The 24,346-nt window shown below is 54.6% G+C and overlaps 1 protein-coding gene across 121 annotated transcripts in view, besides 5 other annotated features; it reads left to right on the top strand.

Moving 5' to 3' along the window:
* RAP1GAP (RAP1 GTPase activating protein) overlaps positions 1–24,346 on the top strand; it is a 73,137-nt gene that overhangs the window by 8,685 nt on the left and 40,106 nt on the right. For 80 of the 121 annotated variants that reach the window (NR_170899.1, NR_170921.1, NR_170904.1 and 77 more), the window contains one exon: positions 10,877–10,912. The exons of 18 other annotated variants lie outside the window; for them this stretch is intronic. Coding sequence is in view for 13 of the 103 variants with exons in the window: in NM_001388282.1 (NP_001375211.1) it covers positions 8,851–8,894; positions 10,877–10,912 (80 nt within the window). In the remaining 90 variants the exon portion in view is untranslated. Of the gene's footprint in view, positions 1–8,774; positions 9,555–10,876; positions 10,913–24,346 lie in introns of those variants that run through there. 23 more of the 121 variants (NR_170926.1, NR_170924.1, NR_170923.1 and 20 more) reach the window with 4 other exon arrangements.
* Positions 1,038–1,087: a silencer, noted in NCBI's record as "silent region_386". NCBI's record gives its function as "represses an Ori minimal core promoter by ATAC-STARR-seq in GM12878 lymphoblastoid cells {active_cell/tissue: GM12878}" and the evidence as "EXISTENCE:reporter gene assay evidence [ECO:0000049][PMID:35858748]".
* Positions 1,158–1,317: a silencer, noted in NCBI's record as "silent region_385". NCBI's record gives its function as "represses an Ori minimal core promoter by ATAC-STARR-seq in GM12878 lymphoblastoid cells {active_cell/tissue: GM12878}" and the evidence as "EXISTENCE:reporter gene assay evidence [ECO:0000049][PMID:35858748]".
* Positions 8,742–8,811: a silencer, noted in NCBI's record as "silent region_384". NCBI's record gives its function as "represses an Ori minimal core promoter by ATAC-STARR-seq in GM12878 lymphoblastoid cells {active_cell/tissue: GM12878}" and the evidence as "EXISTENCE:reporter gene assay evidence [ECO:0000049][PMID:35858748]".
* Positions 8,801–9,551: an enhancer, noted in NCBI's record as "H3K4me1 hESC enhancer chr1:21977615-21978365 (GRCh37/hg19 assembly coordinates)". NCBI's record gives its function as "activates a minimal SCP1, AML or CMV promoter by ChIP-STARR-seq in naive H9 embryonic stem cells {active_cell/tissue: H9 hESC(naive)}" and the evidence as "EXISTENCE:reporter gene assay evidence [ECO:0000049][PMID:30033119]".
* Positions 20,202–21,031: an enhancer, noted in NCBI's record as "H3K27ac-H3K4me1 hESC enhancer chr1:21966135-21966964 (GRCh37/hg19 assembly coordinates)". NCBI's record gives its function as "activates a minimal SCP1, AML or CMV promoter by ChIP-STARR-seq in primed H9 embryonic stem cells {active_cell/tissue: H9 hESC(primed)}" and the evidence as "EXISTENCE:reporter gene assay evidence [ECO:0000049][PMID:30033119]".

Below are 24,346 nucleotides of genomic sequence, written 5' to 3'. Positions count from 1 at the left end.
GAAACTAAGGCTGACGGTCACAGCTCAAGACTGAGTCGGGGCTGGGTGCAGTGGCTCTTGCCTGTAATCCTGGCACTTTGGGAGGCTGAGGCGGGAGGACCACTTGAGGTTGGGAGTTGAAGACCAGCCTGGCCAAAATGGTGAAACCCCATCTCTACTAAAAATACAAAAATCAGCCGGGCATGGTGGCGGGTGCCTGTAGTCCCGGCTACTCAGGAGGCTGAAGCGAGAGAATCGCTTGAACCCTGGAGGCAGAGGTTGCAGTGAGCCAAGATCGTGCCATTGCACTCCAGCCTGGGTGACAGAGCGAGACTGTCTCAATAAATATATATAGCTGAGTTGGAACCCACTCTGTCCAGCCCTCTTGAGCCTGTGCCCTTCCTCACTGGCTCACACTGCCCTGCTCTGTATCCAGGCTGTGTAGTTATGCATTTAGAGCCCTGGTTCCTGGAAGGCAGGGCTTCAGCCAAGCAACGGGTTATTAAGCACCTACTGTGTGTCTTGGGGAGGTGCTTTGTGAGGCTAAAGCTTGTGAGGATGGGGAGATTGGGTTCCTCTGTGAGAGATCTTGAGGCTCCATGCCCGCATCCTATCCCAGAAGGCATTCAAGCCCGAGGATACCAGGACAGAGCAGCCAGGGCAGGGCAGTGTGTACTGTTGGAAGGACTTTTTCCCTGGCAGGAGCGTCCCTCACAGTGACTCAGAGCAGTGTGAAGACCTCAGAGAGGTTTTGTAGCCATATCTGCATCCACTGATCCTTAGGCAAGCCACTCAGCCTCTGGGACCTTGGCTTCCTGATCTGTGAAATGGGGAAGATGATTGTACCTAATTTACAGGGTGGGTTTAAGGACTGGATGAAAGCACTTGGCACAGGGCCTCGGGAACTAGAAGGGGCTGTGCCACTGAGCTGCAGCGCACGGGTGATAGGGACTGAGGTCCCGAAGAGCTCGGAAGAGCTGGATCTGCTCTGTTTGCACACCTCAATTTCCCCCGTCAGCCATGGCAGACATGTAACTCTTGCAGGATCAGCCTCACGGGGCTGTTGTCAGGATCACAGAGATCCCGGAACGCGTAGGTGCGGCCCCGTGATCTGCGCACCGAGAGAACGGGTCCCGCGGGAGGGGGCGGCGAGAGCACAGTGGGCGGGCGCAGGTGCGCCCTTGTGAGCTGGGAGACGTGCGGCGGCGCCTGGCGCCGGGGAGAGGGCGAGGACGGGCGCTGGGGCCGCCTCCATGTAAGGGAGGGGTGAGGAAGTGCGGGGGGTGGCGAGCGCGCGGCCGGTGACTGGGGGCGCTGTCCCGGCGGCTCCGGGTCCCCACCCTTCTCTGAGATGCTCCCGGGGCGCTGTCCCTGGTCCTGGAGCCCGGGCGGCCGTCGCCTGCAGTTCTTATGACGGCCAATTGGTGGCGCCCGAGACCGCGGCGGACTCCCGGACCCATTAGAGAACACGTTTTAAAAAGCGTTCTTCGGCCGGGCACTGTGGTTCACGCCTGTTATCCCAACACTTTGGGAGGCTAAGGCGGGCGCATCACCTGAGGTCGGGAGTTCGAGGCCAGCCTGACCAACATGGAAAAACCCCGACTCTACTAAAAATACAAAAATTAGCTGGGCCTGATGGTGCATGCCTGTAATCCCAGCTACTGAGGTGGAGGTTGCGGTGAGCCGAGATCGCGCCATTGCACTCCAGCCTGGGCGACAAGGGCAAAACTCCGTCTCAAAAAAAAAAAAAAAGCGTTCTTCATTTTCCTGTCATGATATTCCTAGGAAATAAGCCTGCCTACACACCTGACTTCAAAAACCAACTATATACTGGCATAAGAGATGAAAAAGGCCCTCCACCTCCCTACATGAATGCTGTGGCATGACCACACCACAAGAGCCAAAGAAGTAACCAGCCTTGGGCACCTATTTATTAAAAATATACCCTTAGATTTAAAAAAATTAAAATTATCGTAATAGAGATGGAGTCTTGCTTTGTTACCAGGCCGGTCTCGAACTTCTGGGCTTAAGCAGTCCTCTCACCTCAGCCTCTCAAGGTGCTGGGATTACAGGTGTGAACCACCTTGCCCAGCCTACCCTTAGATTTTTTGTTTTTGTTTTTGTTTTTTGAGACAGAGTCTCAAAAACTCCAGGCTAGAGTGTAGTGCTGTGATCTTAGCTCACTGCAACCTCCGCCTCCTGGGTTCATGCAATTCTCCTGTCTCAGCCTCCTGAGTAGCTGAGACTACAGGCGCATGCCACCACACCTGGCTAATTTTTGTATTTTTAGTAGAGACAAGGTTTCACCATATTGGTCAGGCTGGTCTCGAACTCCTGGCCTCAGGTGATCTACCCGCCTCAGCCTCCCAAAGTGCTGGGATTACAGATGTGAGCCACTGAGCCCGGCCTACCCTTAGATTTAAGAGCAGAAAGTCATGTCGCTGTACCTGACCTCTAGTTCAGAATGACTTCAGTAGCTGCACCTTTGAAAAATGTATTATGGATTAAAGCCACACCAAAAAATATTCATTTGTAAACCAGAGTTAGGTTCTAGGATGGGTTACCCGGGCTTTTTACCCACTTGAATATCTAGGAGGATATCTGATGAACAACAAATCTCCTGAAGTGGGACTCTCACCAGCGTAGCTTTCCTGTCCCCCACCCACTGAATGACAGTGGCGACCCCGTCATTTCTGAGGACTGAAACCACCCTGGCGCCCTCTGGGGGGCAGAGCCACCCTTGTTGAGAGCCACTGCCTCAATGAGGGCCTTGTCGGGGTGGAGAGGGGCTCTCAGAGTCCCAGACTGGTTGGCCTCCTGGGAGGGTGGTATCATAAGGAACTGTTGGGAAACTCTCTCCCCCCATTATAGATGAACCAGCAGAGGCCAGAAGTGGGAAGGCACTTGTGATGAGAAATGGTGGGTTGCCAGCAGAGCTGGGGCCACAGGCAGGTCTCCCCAGGTCAGGACTCCGCCAGCCCAGCTTCCTGAGGGGAGCTCTGGGCCTCAAGCAGTCTCCCAGCTTTGTCCAACTGCCCCGAAAATGGGCTGGGAGGGCCACGCCCATAGCAGTGGAGGTAGGAGATGGGGGCTGGCCGGCTAGACACCAGCCTGTAATACATGAGAGGTGTCTTGGCCTCCACTCTGCAATCCTGGAGATGCAGCAATTGCACTCTTCTCTGACCCCCAAAGAGCCATTCTGTCTCCTACCTTTATTTCTTCCCAGTAGTTAGCTGGATGCTCCATGCGTGTTTGTGAGGTGTGTACACATCTGTCTGTGTATATTGTATGAACATAAATAATGTGATTTGAGTAAGGATGTGTGGGCCTGAGATTCCTGTGCCTGTATGTGCTGTCATCAGTGTGTATTTACATGCATGTACTAACGCAGCCGGAGTCAGTAGGTGCATGTGCACTGATGGGGGACCTAAGGGTGGGAGCTGGAGTTGACCTTTGCATGTGCACGTACTTGTGGGTTTGCAGCATGGGGGCTGATGTTCATGTGAGCCTGTCTGCATGCATTTGATCTTGATGTGATCTCTACAGGCATGAGTTAGATGACTCTTTGCATGTGCGTGGCACGGTACTAGGCCAAGTGCATGTGTGACCTGGGAAAGTTTGTGTGCAGTTGTGCACACAGGTCTACCAGAGACCTTGTCTGTCTTGTTCAGACTCTATCGCCAGTGTCTGAATAGTGTCAGCCACACAGTGGGTGCTCAATACAGTGTCAGCCACACAGTGGGTGCTCAATACTGAATGAATGGGGGAAGGAATGAAAGACCGTACACCTGGGTGCTGCCTCCAGAAGGGCTTTGCTTCCAGGGCCTTTCAAGCCACATGATCTGCATGGAGATGAGAAACACATCCTCAGGGGTAGGGCCTGAGTGGGGGCAGGTATTCTGGCCAGGCCAGATTTTCCTGGTCCCTGATGGGGTCCCTTTAAGTAGGCAGGGGTTTCAGAAACCCATTGAATAGAGCAGGAGTCTCAGAGCCAGGGCAGAGGCTGGCTCAGTAACCTCACTGGCCAGCTGCCTAGGGAAGGGCTGTGAGCCAAGTCACACCCACTCTTCCCTCCCTTCCCAGGGGCTGGGGAACCCCCAGGAGACTCTTTTTCCAGAAGCTTCCTGGGATTGGGTTGGTGTGGCTTGGCTAGAAAGGCCACAGGCAAAGTAAGGATAATGATACTTTCAGAGCTAGCAGAATTCTCTCAAGGCAAATGTATCTTTCCGTTGTTAGGTCTTTTTTTTTTTTTTTTTTTTTTTTTTTTTTTTTTTTTAGATGGAGTCTTGCTATGTCACCCAGGCTGCAGTGCAGTGGTGTGATCTTTGGTCACTGCAACTTCTGCCTCCTGGGTTCAAGCGATTCTCCTGCCTCAGCCTCCTGAGTAGCTGGGTGCCACCACGCCCAGCTAATTTTTGTATTTTTAATAGAGACGGGGTTTCACCATGTTGATCAGGCTGATCTCGAACTCCTGACCTCATGATTCACCTGCCTCAGCCTCCCAAAATGCTGGGATCACAGGCGTGAGCCACCGCGCCCAGCCCACTGTTAGGTCTTTAACCCAGCAAAGTGAGAATAGGGGTTTAACATATGAGCAAACTGAGGCCCAGCGAGGAAAACTGATTAATGCAAAGCCACACAAGAGGCTGCCTGGGCCAGGGCAGGAAGCCCAGACGCCTCCTCTCCTGCCCAAGAGGCCTGGGGCAGATATCCTGAATGAGTATGACTCGGGGAGGGGAGGAGGCTATTGGAGGCCCTGGCAAGTGTTGGCTCCACCAGCCCCACCTAGAGCCCAGACCTGAGATCTTCCCAGGGTTTGCTCCTCCCTCTCCCCTTCCATCTCCCTGGAAAGGGGGAGCTGGAGGTAGGTAGGTGGAACACCCAGAGTTCAACAAGAGGTGAACTTGGAAAGGCAGCTCTGCAACCCTCCACCCGGTGCTCTTCTCTCTTCCTCTACAGTCTGGCAGCTGTTTGAACAACTTGGGTACAAATCTAGGAGGCCCAAAGGGGAGGCTTCCTCTCAGAGGGAGGGCCTGGACCCTGGAAAGCAGCCTGGCACTGTTTTCTAGGTAAGAGGCTGGAGGCCAAGGAAGAAGGGGGCTCAAACTCCTTCAACGATGGCAGTGACTTCCCAGTGCCAGTCAGCAAGCACCCCGTGCTGACTGCGGAGCAGTGATGTCCCTGTCACAGTGGGCCAGTGAGGCCAGTGTCATGGGATGTTACTAATGTGTTTGACATCACACAGCTAGGAAGCATCAGAGCCTGGTCCAGCCCTGGTCCCTGTCACACTGCCTCTGTGTGTGTGTGTCAGTCCTGGAGGCTGTTCCACATGCCCACACACAGATCTTCCCCAGTCTGTCCCATAGCTGCATGGCACCGCATAGCATACATGGACCATAATTTATCAAATTTCCTCTGGGTGGCCATTTAGTTTTAGAATTCTTACTAATAAATCTTTGCTAGCCCTACAAAAATGGCAACTTCATATAGTTTAGCCTAATAAAAATGATGCTGCTACAACAATTTTTTTTCTTTTCTTCTTTTTTTTTTTTTTCAGACAGAGTCTTGCTTTGTCACCCAGGGTGGAATGCAGTGGCCTGATGTTGGCTCACTGCAACCTCCACCTCCTGGGTTCAAGCAATTCTCCTGTCTCAGCCTCCCAAGTAGCTGGGACTACAGGTGCCAACCACCATGCCCGGCTGATTTTTGTGTTTTAGTAGAGATGGGGCTTCACCATGTTGGCCAGGCTGGTCTTGAACTCCTGACTTCAAGTGATCTACCCGACTTGGCCTCCCAGAGTGCTGGGATTACAGGTGTGAGCCACCGTGCCTAGCCTTTCTTTTTCTTTTTTCTTTTCTTTTTAAGACAGGGTCTTGCTCTGTCACCCAGGCTGGAGTGCAGTGGTGCAGTCAGGGCTCACTGCAGCCTCAACCTCCCAGGCTTGAGCAATCCTCCCACCTCAGCCTCTCAAATCACTGGGACTACATATGTGCACCATCACACCTGGCTAATTTTTAGAGTTTTTGTAGAGACAGGTCTCACTATGTTGCCTAAGCTGTTCTCCAACTCCTACTCTCAAGTGATCCTCCCTATTCGGCCTCCCAAAGTGCTGGGATTACAGATGTGAGCCACCGTGCTCAGTCAGCAAATGTTTTACTTAACAAACACATGTTAAGTGACAAATACTCTACTCTTCTCAGTGCTTTATCATTAGTAACTTATGTAATCCTTGGCAAAACCCTTTGAAGTAGATACGGTTATTTTCATCATAAATCCCATCTTGCAGATGAAAAAACTGAGGCTCAGAAAGCTTAAGTAACTTGACCAAGGTCGCACAGGTGACAAGCGGGAGAGCTGAGATTTTAGCCTTCAACGGTGAGGATATAAGCACATGCCTCAATGTCCATTGTCCTTGCCATTCATCTACAGGCTCACATGCTATGATGCAGAAGATAAATTCTTGGAAGTGGTCTTGCAGGTTAACAGGATGCATTTAAATTCAGCCGTCACCAAAGGACCAGGAGCTGGTCAGGGACTGTCCTGCTGCAACCCTGGCCAAGGGAACGTGACCCCCCACTAACCACCCCCACTCCCACCCCCACCCCCATCCCTTGCCAATGAGGCAGCTGCAGCTGGTCAGAGCAGAGAGGCTGGAGCCCACACTGGGCTCTTTGTCTTCGGTGGGAACCCTTCAGCCCCCATGGCCCCTCTCAAGGGCCCACTGTCCCAGTACCAGTGGGGCCTCCCGGGGGCCAGGCCTGGCTGGGAAACTTGCCACGTTGGCGGCCCCTTGGCTACTCTGCCAACTGGGCATGCAGAAACCACTCAGGAATCATTCCCACTGAAAAGACTGGCGAGGTATAGGTCCATGTCGAAGGGGATGCAGCAGCCCAGATGTGGCTGGAGTCCAGGCCCCAGCCCAAGCACTGTGCACATCCTCATAGCCCAGGCCTAGCTCTTCAGTCCTCTGCCCCAACCGCCTCCCACCTCTCTGAGAGGCCCTGCTGCTGCTGCTGCTACTACTTAGGAAGGAGGGAGGGAGGAAGGGAGGGAGGAAGGTTGTTGCTGCTACTACTTAGGAAGGAGGGAGGGAGGGAGGGAGGAAGGAAGGAAGGAAGGAAGGAAGGAAGGAAGGAAGGAAGGAAGGAAGTTCCTCCCTTCTCAGGCAAACTTCAGTGCTCTCAGGACCCACCCCTCAGGAGCCTGCCCTGGTGTGATTCCTCCCCCCAGGACTCTACAGCACTGCCCAGAGCAGAAGGGGCCCAGTCCAGGCTCCAGAGCACCTTGCAAGGGGAAGCCACACCCTCCTCTGAGGACTGAAAACCAAGGGACATAGTTCTAGGAATGAGGAAATAATGTTTGCCCTGTCCAGGCTCTGAACCCTGCAAGGGGCTCTTGAGGGCTCCTGCACCCACCAGAATGTGCAGAGAAGAGGTCCCAGGTGGGAGCCGAGAGGGGGCTGAGGGCAGATCCCCAAGAGAGAAGTAATTGGTGTGAGAGAGGATCTCAATTTCTTCGTGTCTAAAATGGGGAAACTGCAGCGCCACTTACCCTGCCTAGGTGAGACAAACCGTAGACCCTGGTACCCAGACTCGTCATTTCCCAGGGGATGCTGGAGCTCACCAAGCCCAGGCCCGGGTCCCAGGTGGAACAGCTCCGGAAAGGCGTCTGCAGAATCCCTGCTGCCCTGTCCTTGTGCCCTTGGTCATCCTTCCTCCCTCATCCCCGGCTGCATCTGTGCCCTGCAGTTTGTTTAAACAGAAAATCCCATAGCAAACCTTGAGACTGTGGGGGCCTCCTTGGGTGCAGGGCCTGGGGGAAGGATCTCTCCCTCTATGGGGGGAAGACTGGGTGTTGGGCTGGAGGGCAGTGTGCTCTGGGGTCAGGGCTAGTAACCCGGTGTCTGCTGACACAGCTCCACTTGGGTGGGGGAAACAGCTTACTCTGAGGAAGAGCGCTGGACTGTGAGCTCTGGGCGAGCTGGGTGCAGAAGAGCGACTTGGAGTGTTTAGTGAGCGAATGAGTACCTGCTGCAGAACTCAGAGCCCAGTTCCCTCTAAAGGTTGGGACCTGGACTGCATGACTTTTCAAGAGGGGAGTGGAGGGGGGCGTCTCCACTCCTCCCCTTTGCTCTTCCTCCTCACCAGGGCAAAGGGGAAGGGGACTCCTGGGAGAAGGGGAGACAGGTGGGCAAGGAGGGGCTATTGGAGGCTCTGTTCATTCACTCATTCGTTCGCGGGAAGGGTAGAACGCTGTCCCCCTGCGGAACTCTTGTACCCGGCATTTATTAAGCATCTGCTGTACGCCAGGGCCTGGGCCGAGCGCTTTACGTGCGTGAACTCATTTCGTCATCCCCAGGTCCTAGGAGGCCGGCGGGAGGAATCCCACTTTACAGATGAGAAAGTCGAGGGACAGGGAGGGGCGGGACATGCCCGCCGTGCAGACCCAGGCTTCTGGGAGGGAGCTCCCAGCTCGTGATGATGGGGACGGATCCGCCGAGGAGCGCGGCGGCTCGAGGGGGCGGGAGGAGGGCGTCCCTCCAACAGAGGGTCTGCGGCCTGGACGGGGGGCGGCGGCCGGGAAGGGGGTGGGGGAGGGGCTGCCCCGGGCCCCGGGCCCCGCAATCCCCGCCCGGCTGGGCCCGGCTCGGAAAGTCCCGCGAAGCCCCCGCCCGGCCGGCCCAGGGCGGCGCGAACAAGCGGCCCTTTCTGCGCCGGCGGCCCCCGGCAGCTGGACCGCGGCCCGCTGGGGCGCGGACGTATCCGAGCTGGGGCGGGGGCGGGGGCGGGGCGGCCGCGTTGCCAAGGTGACCCGGGCGCGGGAAGGCGGCTCCGGCTCGCGCGGGCCGGGCCGGGCGGCGGCGGCGGCACCATGAGCGGCCGGAAGCGCAGCTTCACCTTCGGGGCCTACGGCGGGTAGGGCGTGGCGCGGCGCGGGGCGGGGCGCGTGCGCGCGTGTGCGTGTGCACGCGTGGGGGGGAGCCCGTGCGGGGTGTGCTCGCGTTTGGGCGGGTGGGCCTGGGCTATGACTGCTGTGGGGGCTGAGCGTTTGACCTCAGTGCGCGCATGGCTGTCGTGCTGTGGCGCCTGTGTGTGTGTGTTTCTGTTTCTGTGTCTGTGTGTGTTCCCATTGCGTGTCCATGTGCATGTGTGGGGAGGTGAGTGCAGGGTGGACATTGCTGTGTTTGTGTCTAAGCACATGATAGTGGCGCTTATGCATGTGACTGGGGCTGCGGGGCTACTCCGCCTGTGTGTGCGCGCGTGTGTGTGCATGCGTGTGTGCGCAACTGCTCACATGTATAGGTATGTGGGAGTAGGGGCAGGCAGGTCAGGGGGAGGTTCTGCTGGACCTCCCACTTTGCCTCTGCAGCTGTTGGGCCCCTCAGTGACGCTCTGGATAAAGGGACTCTAGAAGCCCTTAGCAGGTCCTGCCCACCCTGGGCACCAGGCTGCCCTCCTTCCTGCATCCTGGCTCTCAGGAACCTCCTCCTCCCTGGGCCACTGGCTGCCTGGGCTTGGAGGCCTGGAGGAGGTCAGAGTGGCAGCAGGTTCATCTTGGGGTCAAGGGGTGCAGAGGTGGGATGGGGATTTATGCCTGTTGCGGAGATTTGGCAAATTGGAGGGACGATGGGTTAGACAGAGTGGGCTCAGAGCCCCTGCCCAGCCAGACAAGCGGCTCCATGACCTTCACCAGGCCCTACCTCCCAGTGGTCATAGGGACCCATGGGACCCACCTTGGGGTGTGGAGCGCTGGGGCTTGTGTGTGGGCATGGTCAGTGTTCTCTGAGCTATGGGGATTGTGTCCAAGCTGCCTTCCCCTTGTGGACGCTCAACTTCTGAGGTGACCCCAGCAGAGGGTGGGGTGGGGTGGGAGGCCAGAGGCTACCCTTCCATATGGGGTCTTGCTAGCTGTCAGGTGATGAGAGGAGCCTGGGCTAGGCCCTGAGCTTCCTGGCCAGCCAACACGGGCAGCTCACAGGCTGGGTCCTGTTCTATGACCTTGGGCAAGTCCTGGCTTCTCTGACCTCACTGTCTGCAGAGTCGGCCTTCCCCATCAGCTGTCCCTGGGAGCCCCCAGCCCTGCCCTGCGGAGGACGTCCTCTTGCTGGCAGAGTTGGGCTGGGCTCCCTCCTCATCCCCTTCTTACCTCTGGGCAGGAGGCGAGTTGTTTGTTGTCCCAACAGCTGCTCAGCCCCTGCCCCCAGCGGCACCAAGGTGCCCTCAGAGGGCAGTAGGAGAATCTGGGCGGGGCGGGAGTGCTACCCACACATGCGTCCTGGGGCTGGATCTGGGTGGATTTGGGGGAGACAAAGTCTGGGGTACCCCTGAAGTCTTAGGGAGCAGGGTACGTGTGTTGGGGTGAGGGTGGGGGGAAGCTCCTCCTAGATCTCCTCCCAGATTCGCAGACATTTGCTTCCTGGGTGGATATGAGTGAACAGCTTCAGGATTGAGGCAGGCTACGGGCCTTGGGGGTGATGTTCTTTCTGCCCACCATAAACCATAGATATCCAGCAAACTTCCATCCTGCCTAGAAAGGCTCTAAGCTAGCCCCAGCCGCACCCCTACATCCTTGCCATGATCCAAGCTGCTGTAGTCACTGTCCTACTCCACCTGTCCCCCCACCCCTGCTAACACCCCACAGCCCTGCCCCCTGCCCCACTGCCCCCAGTCCTGCCTCTTTTCCTGGCTCTTTAACCCCTATGCCTTCCCATGTCCCTAATCTGACAGTCAGGCGACTGCAGCCTAAGGGTGATAGTGACTGCATCAGGCATCCTTAGAAACAGGACCTTCTCCAGCCCCTCTGGGAGGGTGGTGCAGTGCAGGTGGGTGTGATATGCTGGGCCAAGCTGGTGAGAAGGGATGTCCCCTCACCTATGGCCCCTCTTGTTGTGTTTCAGGGTGGACAAGTCCTTCACTTCTCGCCGGAGTGTGTGGTGAGTACTGGGGACTCTCAGGAGGGCCTGGGTTTCCTTGGCTGGTCCCTGCAGATACCCCCAATCCATTCCTACCCCTGCGATGCCAGGCCAGACCTTACCAAGCTTCCAACCATCCTCTCAGGGCAAGGGGGTGGGCAGACCCTCTTACTGTCCCCAGAGTACTTTTTTAGAGAGCCTTGGAGGCAGGCAAAGCAGGTTTACATCTTCACTCTGCCACTGCCTGTGTGAACTTCAGCAATTCCTTAATGTCTCTGAACCTCAATTTTCTCATCTGTGAAATGGGGATTAAAATGCCTATTCATAGGGTGTAAGGTAAAAAGAACAAAACCAAAAACTGGCCCTGGCATATTTTAGGCCCTTTTTGCTTAAATGCTTCCTTCCTTTTTTTTCTTCTCTATTTCTTCCCACCTCAGGGTGGCCCCTCGCTGGGCTGGGGCTCCCTTAGCCTTTACTGACCCCCAAATCCTCTAGTTACTCCCCCCGACAGCCCTCAGAACCCCTTCCTCCCATATTTCCTGTGTCTGGGGCTGCCCTCTCTTTGGAGGAGGAGGGAACGAGGCAACTGTATGTGCAGCTTCTCAACACCAAGAGGCAATGGGTGGAGGTGCAGCCTCACCTCGGGATACATCGTGGCACCCTGATGCCCCAGCAGGCAGGTGCCTCCGGGCTTCCCTGGCATCAGCATCACGTGGGCCTGGCTGGCTGCTCCTGCTGCTGCTTCACCTCCAGCAGGAGAGCCCCCCGACGGCTCTGGCTGCTGCTTCCTGCCCCTGCTCAGGGCTGTCTGGGGTCCGTGGGTCCTGCAGTACCCCCCAGCTGCTGGGCGACTCCCATCTGGCACCATCGTCCCCGCAGAGCCCTCCTGGGAAGCCAGGCCTGGGGTGGGAGGCACACAGGGTGCCTCAGCTAAGCTCCCAGCCTGCCTTTCTATTTCCCTTTGATGCTCTCCATGCAACCTCAGGCTGCTTCCTCTCCCTTTCTGGGCATCATCTCCTGCTGCTGTGCCTAGTCCATTTGAGCCCCTCCTTCTGCAAGATGGTGTGCTATGCTCAGAGCAGGGGTAGACTGAGGGGGGATAAAAGCAGAGGTGAGGAAGATGCCATCCTTTCCTTCAGGGAGTTCAGTAATAACACCACTGACAACTGCCACTTGTTGGGCACCTGCTATGCACTGGGTACTGTAGTAGACGCCTGACGTGTTATCTCATGTAACTCTGGCCACACCTCAGAGTTAGGGACTATTATCTCTAATTACAGATGAGAACAATGAAGCCCGGAGTGGGGAAATGAGTTGCCCAAGGTCACACAAGCAGTTGGGATTTGAACCTTGATCTTCCAGACTCTGTGCAGAGCCCAAAACCTCGCCTACTCTGTCCCAGGGCCACCAGGCCACAGGGAGGGTCTGAACGAAGGATGCGCTTGAGGGAAGACTCAGAGACAGGGGCCACCCAGAAGGCCCACCCCAGGGAGCCCTAAGCCAAGAGTTAGAGACGAGGGCCCAGGACTGATTGTAACTGGCCAGCTGTGTGACTTTGGGCGAGTCCCATCCCCTCTCTGGGCTTCAGTTGACCCGTCTATCAAGTAAAGATCGGCCATTCCCCAGGACACGCCCCATTACCCAAAATGCCTTGCCCGTGCTCGCCTAGCTGGAGCCGCTGTCCAAGGTGCTAACCCTAGGCCCTCCCTTCCCAGCTGCCAAAGGCCATCGCTTAACTCCAGCCCATGCGTCAGTGGTGGCCATTTTGACCATTAATCATGATCTCCTGGCATTCAAGGGCTGTCTCCACCTCCTTTTCTAGTTTGGGGCTTGCTTCTCCCGTGCTCTGTGTTTCTGATCAACGGGAACATGGCCCAGTCAGCATCACCTCCCCTTGATGTCCCTCCACTTCCATTTCCACAGGCCCTCGCCACACCTCCAGCCCAACTTTGTCACCATTTGTTGGGTGTTTTCTTTCTTGATCCCCACACCCCCATTCCCTCTTTAGAATGCCTCCTCTGCTGCTACAGAGCATGCATTCGTGAATGTTCCTGGGGTAGGGGAAAGAGCATGGCAGGTGTGGACTTGAGTCTGACAGGTGTGGACTTGAATCTGCCTCTGCCACATTCTAGTTGTGTGACTTTGGCAAGTCATTTTCCCTCTCTGGGCTGCACTTGCTGCTCAACATGTGCTTGTTGAATAGGGCATTTCCGGGAGCTGACTTCAGGTGAGCTGCATGTGTTCACATAACCCTGCAGTGCAAAGCAGGCTCTGAACTCCTTGAAAGGAGAGGTGCTTGGTCGCTTTTTGTTTTTTTGGAGACAGGGTCTCACTCTGTCGCCCAGGCTGTAGTGTAGTTGTGCAGTCTCGGCTCACTGCAACCTTCACCTCCTGGGTTCAAGTGAATCTCTTGCCTCAGCCTCCTGAGTAGTTGGGACCACAGGTGCATGCCATCACTCCTGGGTAATTATTTTTGTATTTTTAGTAGAGACAAGGTCTCACCATGTTGGCCAGTCAGGTCTCGAACTCCTGAGCTCAAGTGATCCTCCCATCTCGGCCTCCCATTGAGTCACATTTGAGCTCAACTTAGCCCCCACTTTCTCCCATAAAGGCCAGGCTGTACTTTTCTCATGTCTCTGTCCTCCACATGGTCTTGTGCAACTACCATGCCCATAAATGCTTAATGCTTGTGGAATTGAATTGAGTGTGTTCAGGGAGGGGAATAAGTAAAACCTTGTCAGTAGGCTGGGAAGGCTTCCTAGAGGAGGTGATTTTCCCCCACCCCTTTACAAAACAGGATTAAGAGGTTAGGACTTGGATTAAAGGAGCAGTGAGTCCTGGTAGAGGCCAGATGTGATCATGGCTGAGTTCCCCTACACATCCCTAACCCCTCTCAGCAGGTTGTCTGCAGTGGAGGACCTCAGAGTAGGTGTGCAGATGCAAGAGGAAGGAGGCCCAGTGTGAGGGTTGGGAGCCAGTGGGACAGTGGGTGACTGATTATGCAGCCCTAAGGGACCCAGATATCCTAGAATGGGGGCTGGACATTTAAAGTGTATTCAAATGGATGGTGGGAGGTAGAGAGGTGTCAGGGTAGAGGAATGGTCAAGTGGACTTGTGCAAGGTAGGAGCGTTCTGAAAATACCTCTGGGAAGAGGAGAGTCAACTTTGGCCTTAAAACTAGGAGCCTGGGAGGTGGAGGCAGAACCCAGAAAGGATTAAGAGCTGACAGCATGCCAGGCATTTTACTCTGAAGGTCTCATTAAATCATGGCATCAGTCCTGCAATTTGGCCTGTTGTTGCCAGTTTAGAGGCCAAAACCAGGACTGAGAGTGGTGGAGGCTCTGGCTCAAAGTCACAGCTGGTGAAGGCTGGATTTGAATCCAGCTCTTCTGCTGAGGAAGGGACCTAGGTCAGAGACAGTGAAGCTGCAGAAATGGGGAAGGTCTTGGTTATGAGTTAAGGGAGGAGCGGGGAGTGATGTAGCCCTGAATGCCACCCAAACGGGAGTCACTGCTCAGTCCATGTGTCCTGCTGGGAAGGCCCATCTGGGTGCTGAGATGTTTCCTCTTGACAGAATTGGTACCAGTCTCTCCCATATATGGAGCACTTCCTGTATCCCAGGCCCTGGGCCCAGCACTTCCCCTGAATCATTTCATTCCATCCTGACACCAGCCTTACAGATGACTGTTTGTCCCTTACTACTGTCCATCCCCATTTTACAGATGAGGGAACTGACGCTCAGAGAGGGGAAGTGGTGGCCCAGGGGCATGCAGTCAGTGAGGGGTGAACCAAGACTGACAGTAATGCCACTCTGAGCCCATGCCTTTAGCCCTCGATCTCCTGGATGCTGCTTGTGCTGAGTGGTGGGCTGGGGTGGGTGGCCCTGTCCTCAGGTGGCTCCTTATGGCAGTCACTGAGCCAGAGGCCCTGGGGCCTGTGTGCTGCTGCAGGAAGCACAAGGCTGGCCTCATTAGTGGCTCTGAAATGCCAAGCAGGCACAGCCCGCTGGGCCTCCTCATCTATTATGCATCTGGTGGGCAGGCCCCCGACGGGCAGCTGGCAGTGTATGGGATGGGGGAGCTAGCAGCTGCTTCCTGAGCCCATGGCCGCCACTATACCTCTGGGCAGGGATCTCCCAAGGCAAATGCCAAGGCCTCCTGCCTCATCCCCTTGGCCAAGCCAGGGTGAGGGGGTTCTACTGGGGACAGGGGCATGGATGCTAGTCCCCAGCTCATTAGCCTGGCTATCCTAGCAGCCACTTCTCTTTATTTTATTTTATTTTTATTTTTATTTTTATTTTTTGAGACAGGGTCTCACTCTGTCACCCATGCTGGAGTGCAGTGGGGCAATCTCAGCTCACTACAGCCTCGACCTCCTGGGCTCAAGCGATCCTCCTCCCTCAGCCTCCCAAAGTGCTAGGATTACAAGCGTGAGCCACCATGCCCAGCCCCTGGCAGCCACTTCTAAGAGAGGCTGAGACTTCGATTGAGCTGGGGGTCATTTGGGACCAGAATGGGCAGAGGTGGGCTGAAATAGAATCTTAGATGCCCAAGCTCCTGGCTGTACAGAGCCTCAGAGCGATAGAGCTGTGGTCATTTGTTCATCATTTATTCATCCAGCCACAGTAACCACTGAACACGTACTGTAGGCCAGGCATGGTTTTAGTTACTGCAGATTCAGCAGAAAATGAGACAGGCCTAGCCGCTATACTCAGAGAGCTTGGTTTGGGCAGTACTTCACCTCACTGAGCCTGGATTTCCTCAACTGTAAAATTGGGAATGGCGGAGGCAGACTATAAGTAAATAGACAAGGAAACAACCTCTGATGGGTACACTGAATTTCTTTCTTTCTTTCTTTTCTCTTTTTTTTTTTTTTTTTTTTGAGACAGGGTCTCACTCTGTTACCCAGGCTGGGGTGCAGTGGCGCGATCTCGGTTCACTGCAACCTCCACCTCCGTGGTTCAAGCAATTCTCTGCCTCAGCCTCCTGAGTAGCTGGGATTACAGGCGCCTGCCACCACACCCGGCTAATTTTTTTGTGTATTTTTAGTAGAGATGGGGTTTCACCATCTTGGCCAGGCTGGTTTCGAGCTCCTGACCTTGTGATCCTCCTGCCTTGGCCTCCCAAAGTGCTGGGATTATAGACGTGAGCCACCGCGCCCGGCCAGGTCCACTGAATTTCAAAGCAAGGTTACATGCTAACAAGAGCTGGTCCTTGCCGAGAGCTGAGCGCGTGCCAGGCTGTGTTTCAGAGCACTTTGCCCACGTTCATGGGTTTGATCTTCACAACAGCCCTGTGAGGCAAGACCGTTATGAACCCTGGTTTAGGGCTGGGGAGGCTGAGGCAAAGAGAGGTTAAGTAACCTGTTCAAGGTCCCTTGGCAAAGCTGAGATTGGAGCTTAAGTAGCCAGGCTCCAGTTTGCTTGTCACCCTGCGCTGTATGGCTGGAAAATGAAGGAGTCCTGGAAAGCCTTTCTGAAGAGGGGGTGTTTGAACCAAAACCTGAAGGATGAGAGGAGCTGGCCATGGGGGAGCTGGCAGGGTGTCCAGACAGAGGGAGCAGCAGGTGCAAAGGCTCTGAGGCAGGGATGAGCCTAGTGCCAGAGAGACGCCCTGCTTCCAGGAAGGATCCTCTATAGCTTCAGGAGACAAGAGAAAAATCCCCTCCACATGCGTTGTGGCTCTGGGACTGCCACTGTTTGGCTGTGTGATCTTGAGAAATGGGTCCCCATCTCACTTGTGCACAACTCTGCTATCCCACGTCTATCCTCAGCATCATGAAGAGAGGACTCTTGCCGCCCTGAGGTCCCTGGTCTGGTTGGCCCTGTGTGCCCCTATCTCCTGGTGATGCTCAAACTCTGGTCTATTTGTCTGAGATGCATGGGAATATTTGAGTTCTGTTAGGTAGACCTGAGTTCAAATACCCAGTTCAACTTCCACTTACTTGCTGTGTGGCCTTACCCCAACTACTCTGCCTCTCTGAACCCCAGATTGTCCATAACAATGGAAACAGTATTGCTTCGAATGAAATGAGTGCAGAGTGTATGCGCAGGGGGATGTTCTCCCTTCTAACTAAGCATTTGCATTTTGAGAGGAAAGACTCATTCATCCAAAGAGAGATTCTCTAGTGATAGAATTTTAGGCACTGTCGTGGCCACAGGGGGTGAGTAGATGGCTAAGGAGGGGATTTTCTTTTTTTCTTTTTTCTTTTTTTTTTTTTTTTTTTGAGACGGAGTCTTGCTGTCTCGCCCAGGCTGGAGTGCAGTGGCACGATCTTGGCTCACTGCAACCTCCACCTGCCAGGTTCAAGCATTCTCCTGCCTCAGCCTCCTGAGTAGCTGGGATTACAGGCGTGTGCCACCATGCCCAGCTAATTTTTGTATTTTTAGTAGAGATGGGGTTTCACCATGTTGGTCAGGCTGGTCTCGAACTCCTGACCTCATGATCCGCCCGTCTCGGCCTCCCAAGGTGCTAGGATTACAGGCGTGAGCCACCACACCCAGCCTCGGAGGGGATTTTCTGATAGCCCAGATCCTGGAAAGGCCTTCTGAGTTCAGGATCTTCCCCAAAATTCATTCATTCAGCAAACTAATTCAATAAGCATTTAGTGTGGGGACACCCTCCTAGGGCCAAACCCTGTGCTGGGCGTTGGGGACTTGGTGGAGAAAATAGATGAGGCCACTTCTTCTGGGTTCAGAGTCTAGAGAGGGTCATAAGGAAAGAGGTGGTTTGATGGGAATGACATGTGCTGACTAGGGAGATGTGAGGGTTGCTGAGATCTCAGAGAAGGGACTCCTGCCCACATCTGGGAATCAAGGAGGGCTTCCTGGAGGAGGTGACTCAAAAGTTGAAGTGGGCCAAGTGGCAGTGTGTGTGTGTGTGTGTGTGTGTGTGTGTGTGTGTGTGTAGTGGGGAAGGGAGGTGCACTGTGCGAGAATGTTCCAGGGACAGGAGGTGGCAGGTCAGCAATGTGGAGGAGAAAAGTGTGTGGTGGCACATGCTGGATTCAAGACTGAGTTGGGCCTGACAGGTGAAGGGAAGAGAGACAGCCACCAGATCATGTCCCTGTAGGCCCTGCTGGGACTTCTGTGGGCTACGCTGGAAGGCTCTGAACCCCCCAGCCACCATGGGAAGAGGCCTGCTAGGGTGCCAGTCGCCCATCCTCCTCCCTGCTCCAAGGAGCTGCTGTGTGAGACTGAGTCAGCCGCAGCTCAGGGAGGCCCTGACTGTGCTCTTAGTGCAGGGCTGTGGAAGCCCTGGAGCCAGAGTCTGGGCTGGGACCGCAGATGCTGTCTCGGCCACCAGCTGGCTGGGTGACTTCTCTGGATCTCAGTTTCCTCACCTGTAACATGAGGGCAATAAAAGTACTACCTGGAAGATTGGTGGGGGGATTAAATGAGATAATGGGTGCCAAGGCCTGAAACCAGGGCCTGGCACAGAGCACGTACTCCGTCGATGCCAGCTATTGCGGTTACTGCCATCATCGCGGTCATGGTTACCTGCTGCGCCTGCAGTGGGTGCGGAATTGCGCTTGGTGTGTAGACTCTGTCCTCTGGAAGCTTGCTGCCTGCCAGGGGGTGACCTGACTGCCTACACGTGACTGTACACCCCAGCCGTGGGCACTGGCCTTAGGCACTGGCCCTGAGAACACTGGCTTTGGAGTCTGATGGGCCTGGTGCCAGGTCCTGGCCAGTGACCTTGAGGAGTCCGTCACCTTGCTGAGCCTTGGCTCATTCCTTTGTGCAGTGGGGGTGTTCATGGCCCCTGCCTCACGGTGAGTGAGAGGCAGTGAGGAGGTGCTTTTAAAGGGCCGGCCGGTGTAACAATGCAGCTGTTTCTGACCCCATGCTGCAGGAGGGAAGAAACACATGCCTCGGACCCAAGTGACCTAGAGAAACATCACCCTCCCTCTCAGAGGCTCATTTTCATACCTATGAAATGGGAAGGTTGGCTGTGATACACTCTGATGTGCTGGGGTTCTAGTGGAGTTAGCTTGTCCCTAAGTTTGACCTGGTCCAGCTGTTTGCTGTGTGACATTGGGCTAGAGACTTAACCTCTCTGAACCTCAGTTTCCATGCCTGCAAACGGGCAATGTTCACCTCCTGGGATCTTTCAGGGCTTCCATTAGCCACTCGTTAATTCAACAAATACTTACGGAGTTCCTACCACATGCCAGGTACTAGTCTAAGAACTGGGGATGCAGCAGTGAACCTGACAGACACGGTCCTTGCTTCACGCATGTTATCCTCCAGTGCAGGAGACAGACAGCTAAGGTAGCTTCAGATGGGTAATGTGTAGTACGGATGGGGTGGGTGCAAGGCCTGGCTTTGCCAAGGGTATCAGGGAGGGGCCTCTCTGAGGCCTGAATGGGAAGGAGCTGGCTGTGGGAAGAGTAGTCCAGGCAGAGGGTAGAGAAAATGTAAAGGATTGGGGGCAGGAATAGGACTCCTTCCCCCGCCCCAAAGCTGGAACATTCCAGATCATCTCCTGGCAACAGGTGGAGGTGGCTGAGAAGGCAGAGAGGCTGGAAGCCCACTTCTTTCAGATCAGGAACTGCTCCCCAGTCAGGTGTGGTGGCTCATGCCTGTAATCCTAGCACTCTGGGGAGGCCGAGGTGGGTGGATCACCAGAGGTCAGGAGTTTGAGACCAGCCTGGCCAACATGGTGAAACCCTATCTTTACTAAAAATACAAAAAAAAAAAAAAAAATTAGCTGGGCGTAGTGGTGCATGCCTGTGATCCCAGCTACTCAGGAGACTGAGGCAGGAGAATCGCTTGAACCCAGGAGGTGGAGATTACCATGAGCCGAGATCACACCACCGCACTCCAGCCTGGCCAACAGAGCAAGGCTCCATCCCACACACACACAAAAAATAACTGCTGCCCACAAGACAGGCCCGGTGGGGTGGTGGGGAGTGTGGGCAGCCATGGAAGACCAGGCTTGGCTTGAGTCTCAAGTGAGCTGGGCTGTGCAGGCAGGAGGCTGGGCTCCAACCTGTAGGAGCAGGCAGGGGTGGAGCTCACTGCAGGGCAGAGTCAGGCCTCCAGCCTGGAGCCCACCTGACTGGATCTACCTGGCGCAAAGACCCTGGACCTATTTTAGTCGGGGGTAAGGGAACTGCTGCTTGTTCTCCCCTCACCCCAGCCAGCCTAGGCACTGGCCCCAGGTTGCCTTGGCCTTTCCCAGCCCAGCTGCCTGCAGGCTGAGGAAAGGTTCTTTGAGATGACCCATTACATGTACACACACACATATTTCCCTACTCACACTCATAGACTTGACCCTTGTAGAGACAGCTTCATCATGAACATAGAGGCACAGACATACACATTCATTCATGCAGCAGATCAGACCCAAACAGACCCAGGCATGACCTGAAGAAACCCCATTTCTAGCAGGAGAGACTGACAGTGGCTTAATGGTCACACCATGAAATGTGCAAACGCAACAGGTAAATCCATGAAGGCCCAAGACAGGCTTCTGGGAAAGCTGGTCAGGTTCGGAGCAGCTTCTCCTGGTCTGGGGAGGGGGCTCTGGAAGACTGAATACAGACATAGCACCTGAAATGTGATCCAAGCGGACGGGAAGGGGGTAACAGGCAGGGGGCACAGCGTGTGCAGTGGCCTGGAGGTGGGAAGGAGCACCTCGGGTTTGAGGAGCGGAAAGGAGTCTGGAGAAGGAGGAAAGAAGCCCTGGATGAGGCCAGAGACAGTGGGCGGGTGGGAGGGGGGCCGGGGATGGGGAGCAGACACGCAGGGCCTCGTGGGCCACGTGAGGCGGGCGTCTGGATCCTGCTTGCGGCGGGAAGCCATTGGGGCCTTCTAGGCAGGTGGGTGGTGTGATCAGATCCAAACATGCGACACAAGCGCTTTCCCTCCCACACCCATTCACGCTCCTGCCGGGGCCTCCCATCTCCATTCTCACCCACAGAGTCACACACACCCTCTCGCACCACCAGGCAGAGCTGCGGAACACCCGGTGCCGACTCCCAGGAAAAGTGTCAGACGCTGCCCCGCCCACCGGCTGAGTCTGTGCGGCAGGGCCCTGGGGTCCAGCCAGGGTGGATCCTTGCTCACTCCACATCCGCACAGATGTGCCTGTGCCCCCCGCCTGCCCCCACAGGAGTGAGGTCATAACTCTTCTCTACACGTGCAAGGTGGCTTCTAGCTTAGGACGTACTTTCACGTGCATTCTCTCATTTAATGCTCTCAGCAGCCCTGCAGGGAGAAATTCTCAACACCATTTTATAGCCGAGGAAACAGAGGCTGAGAGAGGTGAAGGGACTCTCCCTAGGCCACACAGCTAGAGCTTGGCACAGGCAGGATTTGAACTCAGTTCCGTTTGACTTTCAGGTCTTGTTCTCTGGCCCATCCAGACTCAGACACACTCAGGTGTGACTGTCACCTTTCCAGGCTGTCACTGAGAAGGTGACAAGTGACCTTCAATGCCAAATCCATCCACAAACAGGTTGATCAACACAGAAAGTTATTTAGAGCTCCAGGGAAGGGCCTGGGCTGGGACGTGCCCACCTGCCTGGTGACCCTGAGGCTTCTGGGGGTAGTGCCAGGGGTGGGGCTGGGCACCTGCCAGCCTGGGGCAGCTCAGGGCATGGAGCCCGCGCTAGGAGCAGAGCCTACATTTGCATTTACAAATGAAGTAGACAGCCCTGTCCCCACACATGCTAACCCGGCTGGCCTGGCTTGCAGGACGTGACAGCTGAAGTCACAGGGCACATCCCTGGGCCCAGCTGCCTGGGCCACTTCTGTGCTGCCTCTGCTCTTCCCTGACCCTCGGAGCAGGTTGTCTAATGCCTAATGTAGGGGAAAGAGTGTGGGCTTGGGAGCCAGCCAGAATGGGGGTGCAACCCAGCTCTGTGACGCCTGGCTCAGGGACATTGGTCATGGTGTTTAGTCTCTTTTCGTGTCAGCTTCTCCCCCTTGGAATAAGGGGTGAGTCATACCTCCCTCTCAAGGTGATGGAAAAGGGTAAAGCAGTCAGGTGCTCAGGGAGCTGAGTCATAGTGAGTGCTCAGCTCTCTAAAATCTTTAATTTTTTTCTGATTACACAAATACTAAGTGTTCATTATAAACATCCAAACCGTGCAGAAAAGTATTTGCCACAGAAAGCAGAAGTTCCTAGTGGTCCTGCTTCTCAGAGATAAGCCATGTAAACTTTCTTTTTGTTTTTGTTTTTGTTTAAAGAGAAAGAGGACGGACAGACAGACACAGCCCAACTGGGCTTCATCCCACTCAAAATTCTGAGGGCTTTTGGGCCTCAGGGTCCCATACGCAGCAAGCCCCTTTTCTCTCTCTCTTTTTTTTTTTTTTTTGAGACAGAGTCTTGCTCTGTCGCCCAGGCTGGAGTGCAGTGGTGCAATCTTGGTTCACTGCAACCTCTGCCTCCTGGGTTCAAGCGATTCTCCTGCCTCAGCCTCTTGAGTAGCTGGGATTACAAGCATGCGCTACCATGTCCGGCTGATTTTGTATTTTTAATAGAGATGGGGTTTCACCATGTTGGTCAGGCTGGTCTGAAACTCCTGACCTCAAGTGATCCACCTGACTTGGCCTCCCAAAGTGCTGAGATTATAGGTGTGAGCCACCATGCCCGGCCTTTTTTTCTTTTCTTTTTTTTTTTTTTAATAGGATCTTGCTCTGTTACTCAGGCTGAAGTACAGTGGTGCAATGTTGGCCCACTGAAGCCTCAACCTCTCAGGCTCAATCAGTCTTCCCACCTCAGCCTCCTGAGTAGCTGGGACTACAGGCATGCACCACCATACCCGGCTAATTTTTGTGGTTTTTTTTTTTTTTTTTTTTGGTAGAGATGGGGTTTTGCTATGTTGCCCAGGATGGTCTTGAACTCCTGGCTCCAAGAGATCCGCCTGCCTTGGCCTCCCAAAGTGCTAGGATTACAGGCGTGAACCACCACTCCCGGCCAGCCATGTAAACTTTGACATGTAATTTTAAATTTTTACAAATGAGATTTTTGTTGTGTGCAGCCCGCTTTATTCACTTAACAATATGCCTCAAACCCCCTTTTCCATCAAGACTAAAGACCTTCTTTGTCATTGCTGTATAGTATTCCATGGTTTGATATATTTAACTAATCTCCTTGTAATGGACATTGAAGTGGCGTCCAGATGTTTGCGGTTGCAAACCCTGCTTCATGACTTTTTTGTTCATATATCTTTATGCATTGGTGTTATATTTCTGGAGAATAAATGCCTAGAAATGGGGTTGCTGGACCAAAGAATATGCACATTTTAACATCCATTGCCTCTGCCCTCAGTTACAGGGATCCTAGAGTCATCAAGAGGCAAAGAATTCCAGATGTGGGGCTGGATGCAGTGGCTCACTCCTGTAATCCCAGCACTTTGGGAGGCTGAGGCAGGTGGATCACTTGGATCCAGGAGTTCAGACCAGCTTGGGCAACATGGTGAAACCCTGTCTCTACAAAAAAAAAAAATTAGCCGGATGTGGTGGCATGCACCTGTGGTCCCAGCTACTTGGGAGGCTGAGGTGGGAGGCTTGCTGGAGCCCAGGAGGCAGAAGTTGGAATGAGCTGAGATCTCACCACTGCACTCCACCCTGGGCGACAAAGTGAGACCCTGCCCCCAACCACCACCAAAAAAAAAAAAAAAAAAGAAAAAAAAGAATTTCAAATGTGGGAGGCACCTTGAGGTCCTCCAGTCAAACCCCCCACCGCTCCTCCCGTTCCCACACCTTCAGATCTCCCTGGCTGCACCTCTGAGAAGCTCACTCTGCCTTTGCTTGATGCAGAGCTCGGTACCTTACATGGCAGGTTGCTCAGGTTGCTTTCCCTTCCTCCCTCCCTCCCTCCCTTCCTCCCTCCCTCCCTCCCTCCCTCCCTCCCTTCCTTCCTTCCCTCCTTCCTTCCTTCTTTCCTTCCTTCCTTTTCCCTCCTCCTCCTCCTCCTCCTTCTTCTTCTTCTTCCTTTCTCTCTCTTTCTTTCTTTCTATTTGAGATGGAATTTTGCTCTTGTTGCCCAGGCTGGAGTGCAATGGCATGATCTCGGCTCACTGCAACCTCCATCTCCCGGGTTCAAGTGATTCTCCTGCCTCAGCCTCCCGGGTAGCTGGGATTACAGGCGTGCGCTACCACACCCGGCTAATTTTTGTATTTTTAGTAGAGATGGGGTTTCTCCACGTTGGTCAGGCTGGTCTCAAACTCCCGACCTCAGGTGATCCGCCTGCCTCAGCCTCCCAGAGTGCTGGGATTATAGGCATGAGCCACCATGCCCTGCCTAGGTTGCTTTACTCTTGGGCAGCTGTGTTTGTCCCATCGTTTCTACCTTCTCACAACTTCCACCTAGGAGTCTTGTCTCAGTCCTCAGGCACCTACAGAGGAAGGAAGAAAGGAAGGAAGAGAAGGGAAGGCCAAGAAATGCTCATGGTGAATGTTAAGCACTTTACACCAATGAACTCATTTAACCCTCAGAGGTC

Source organism: Homo sapiens, chromosome 1, assembly GCF_000001405.40.
Source record: "Homo sapiens chromosome 1, GRCh38.p14 Primary Assembly".
Classification (NCBI taxonomy): domain Eukaryota; kingdom Metazoa; phylum Chordata; class Mammalia; order Primates; family Hominidae; genus Homo; species Homo sapiens.
This window is presented reverse-complemented; position numbering and strand designations above follow the sequence as displayed.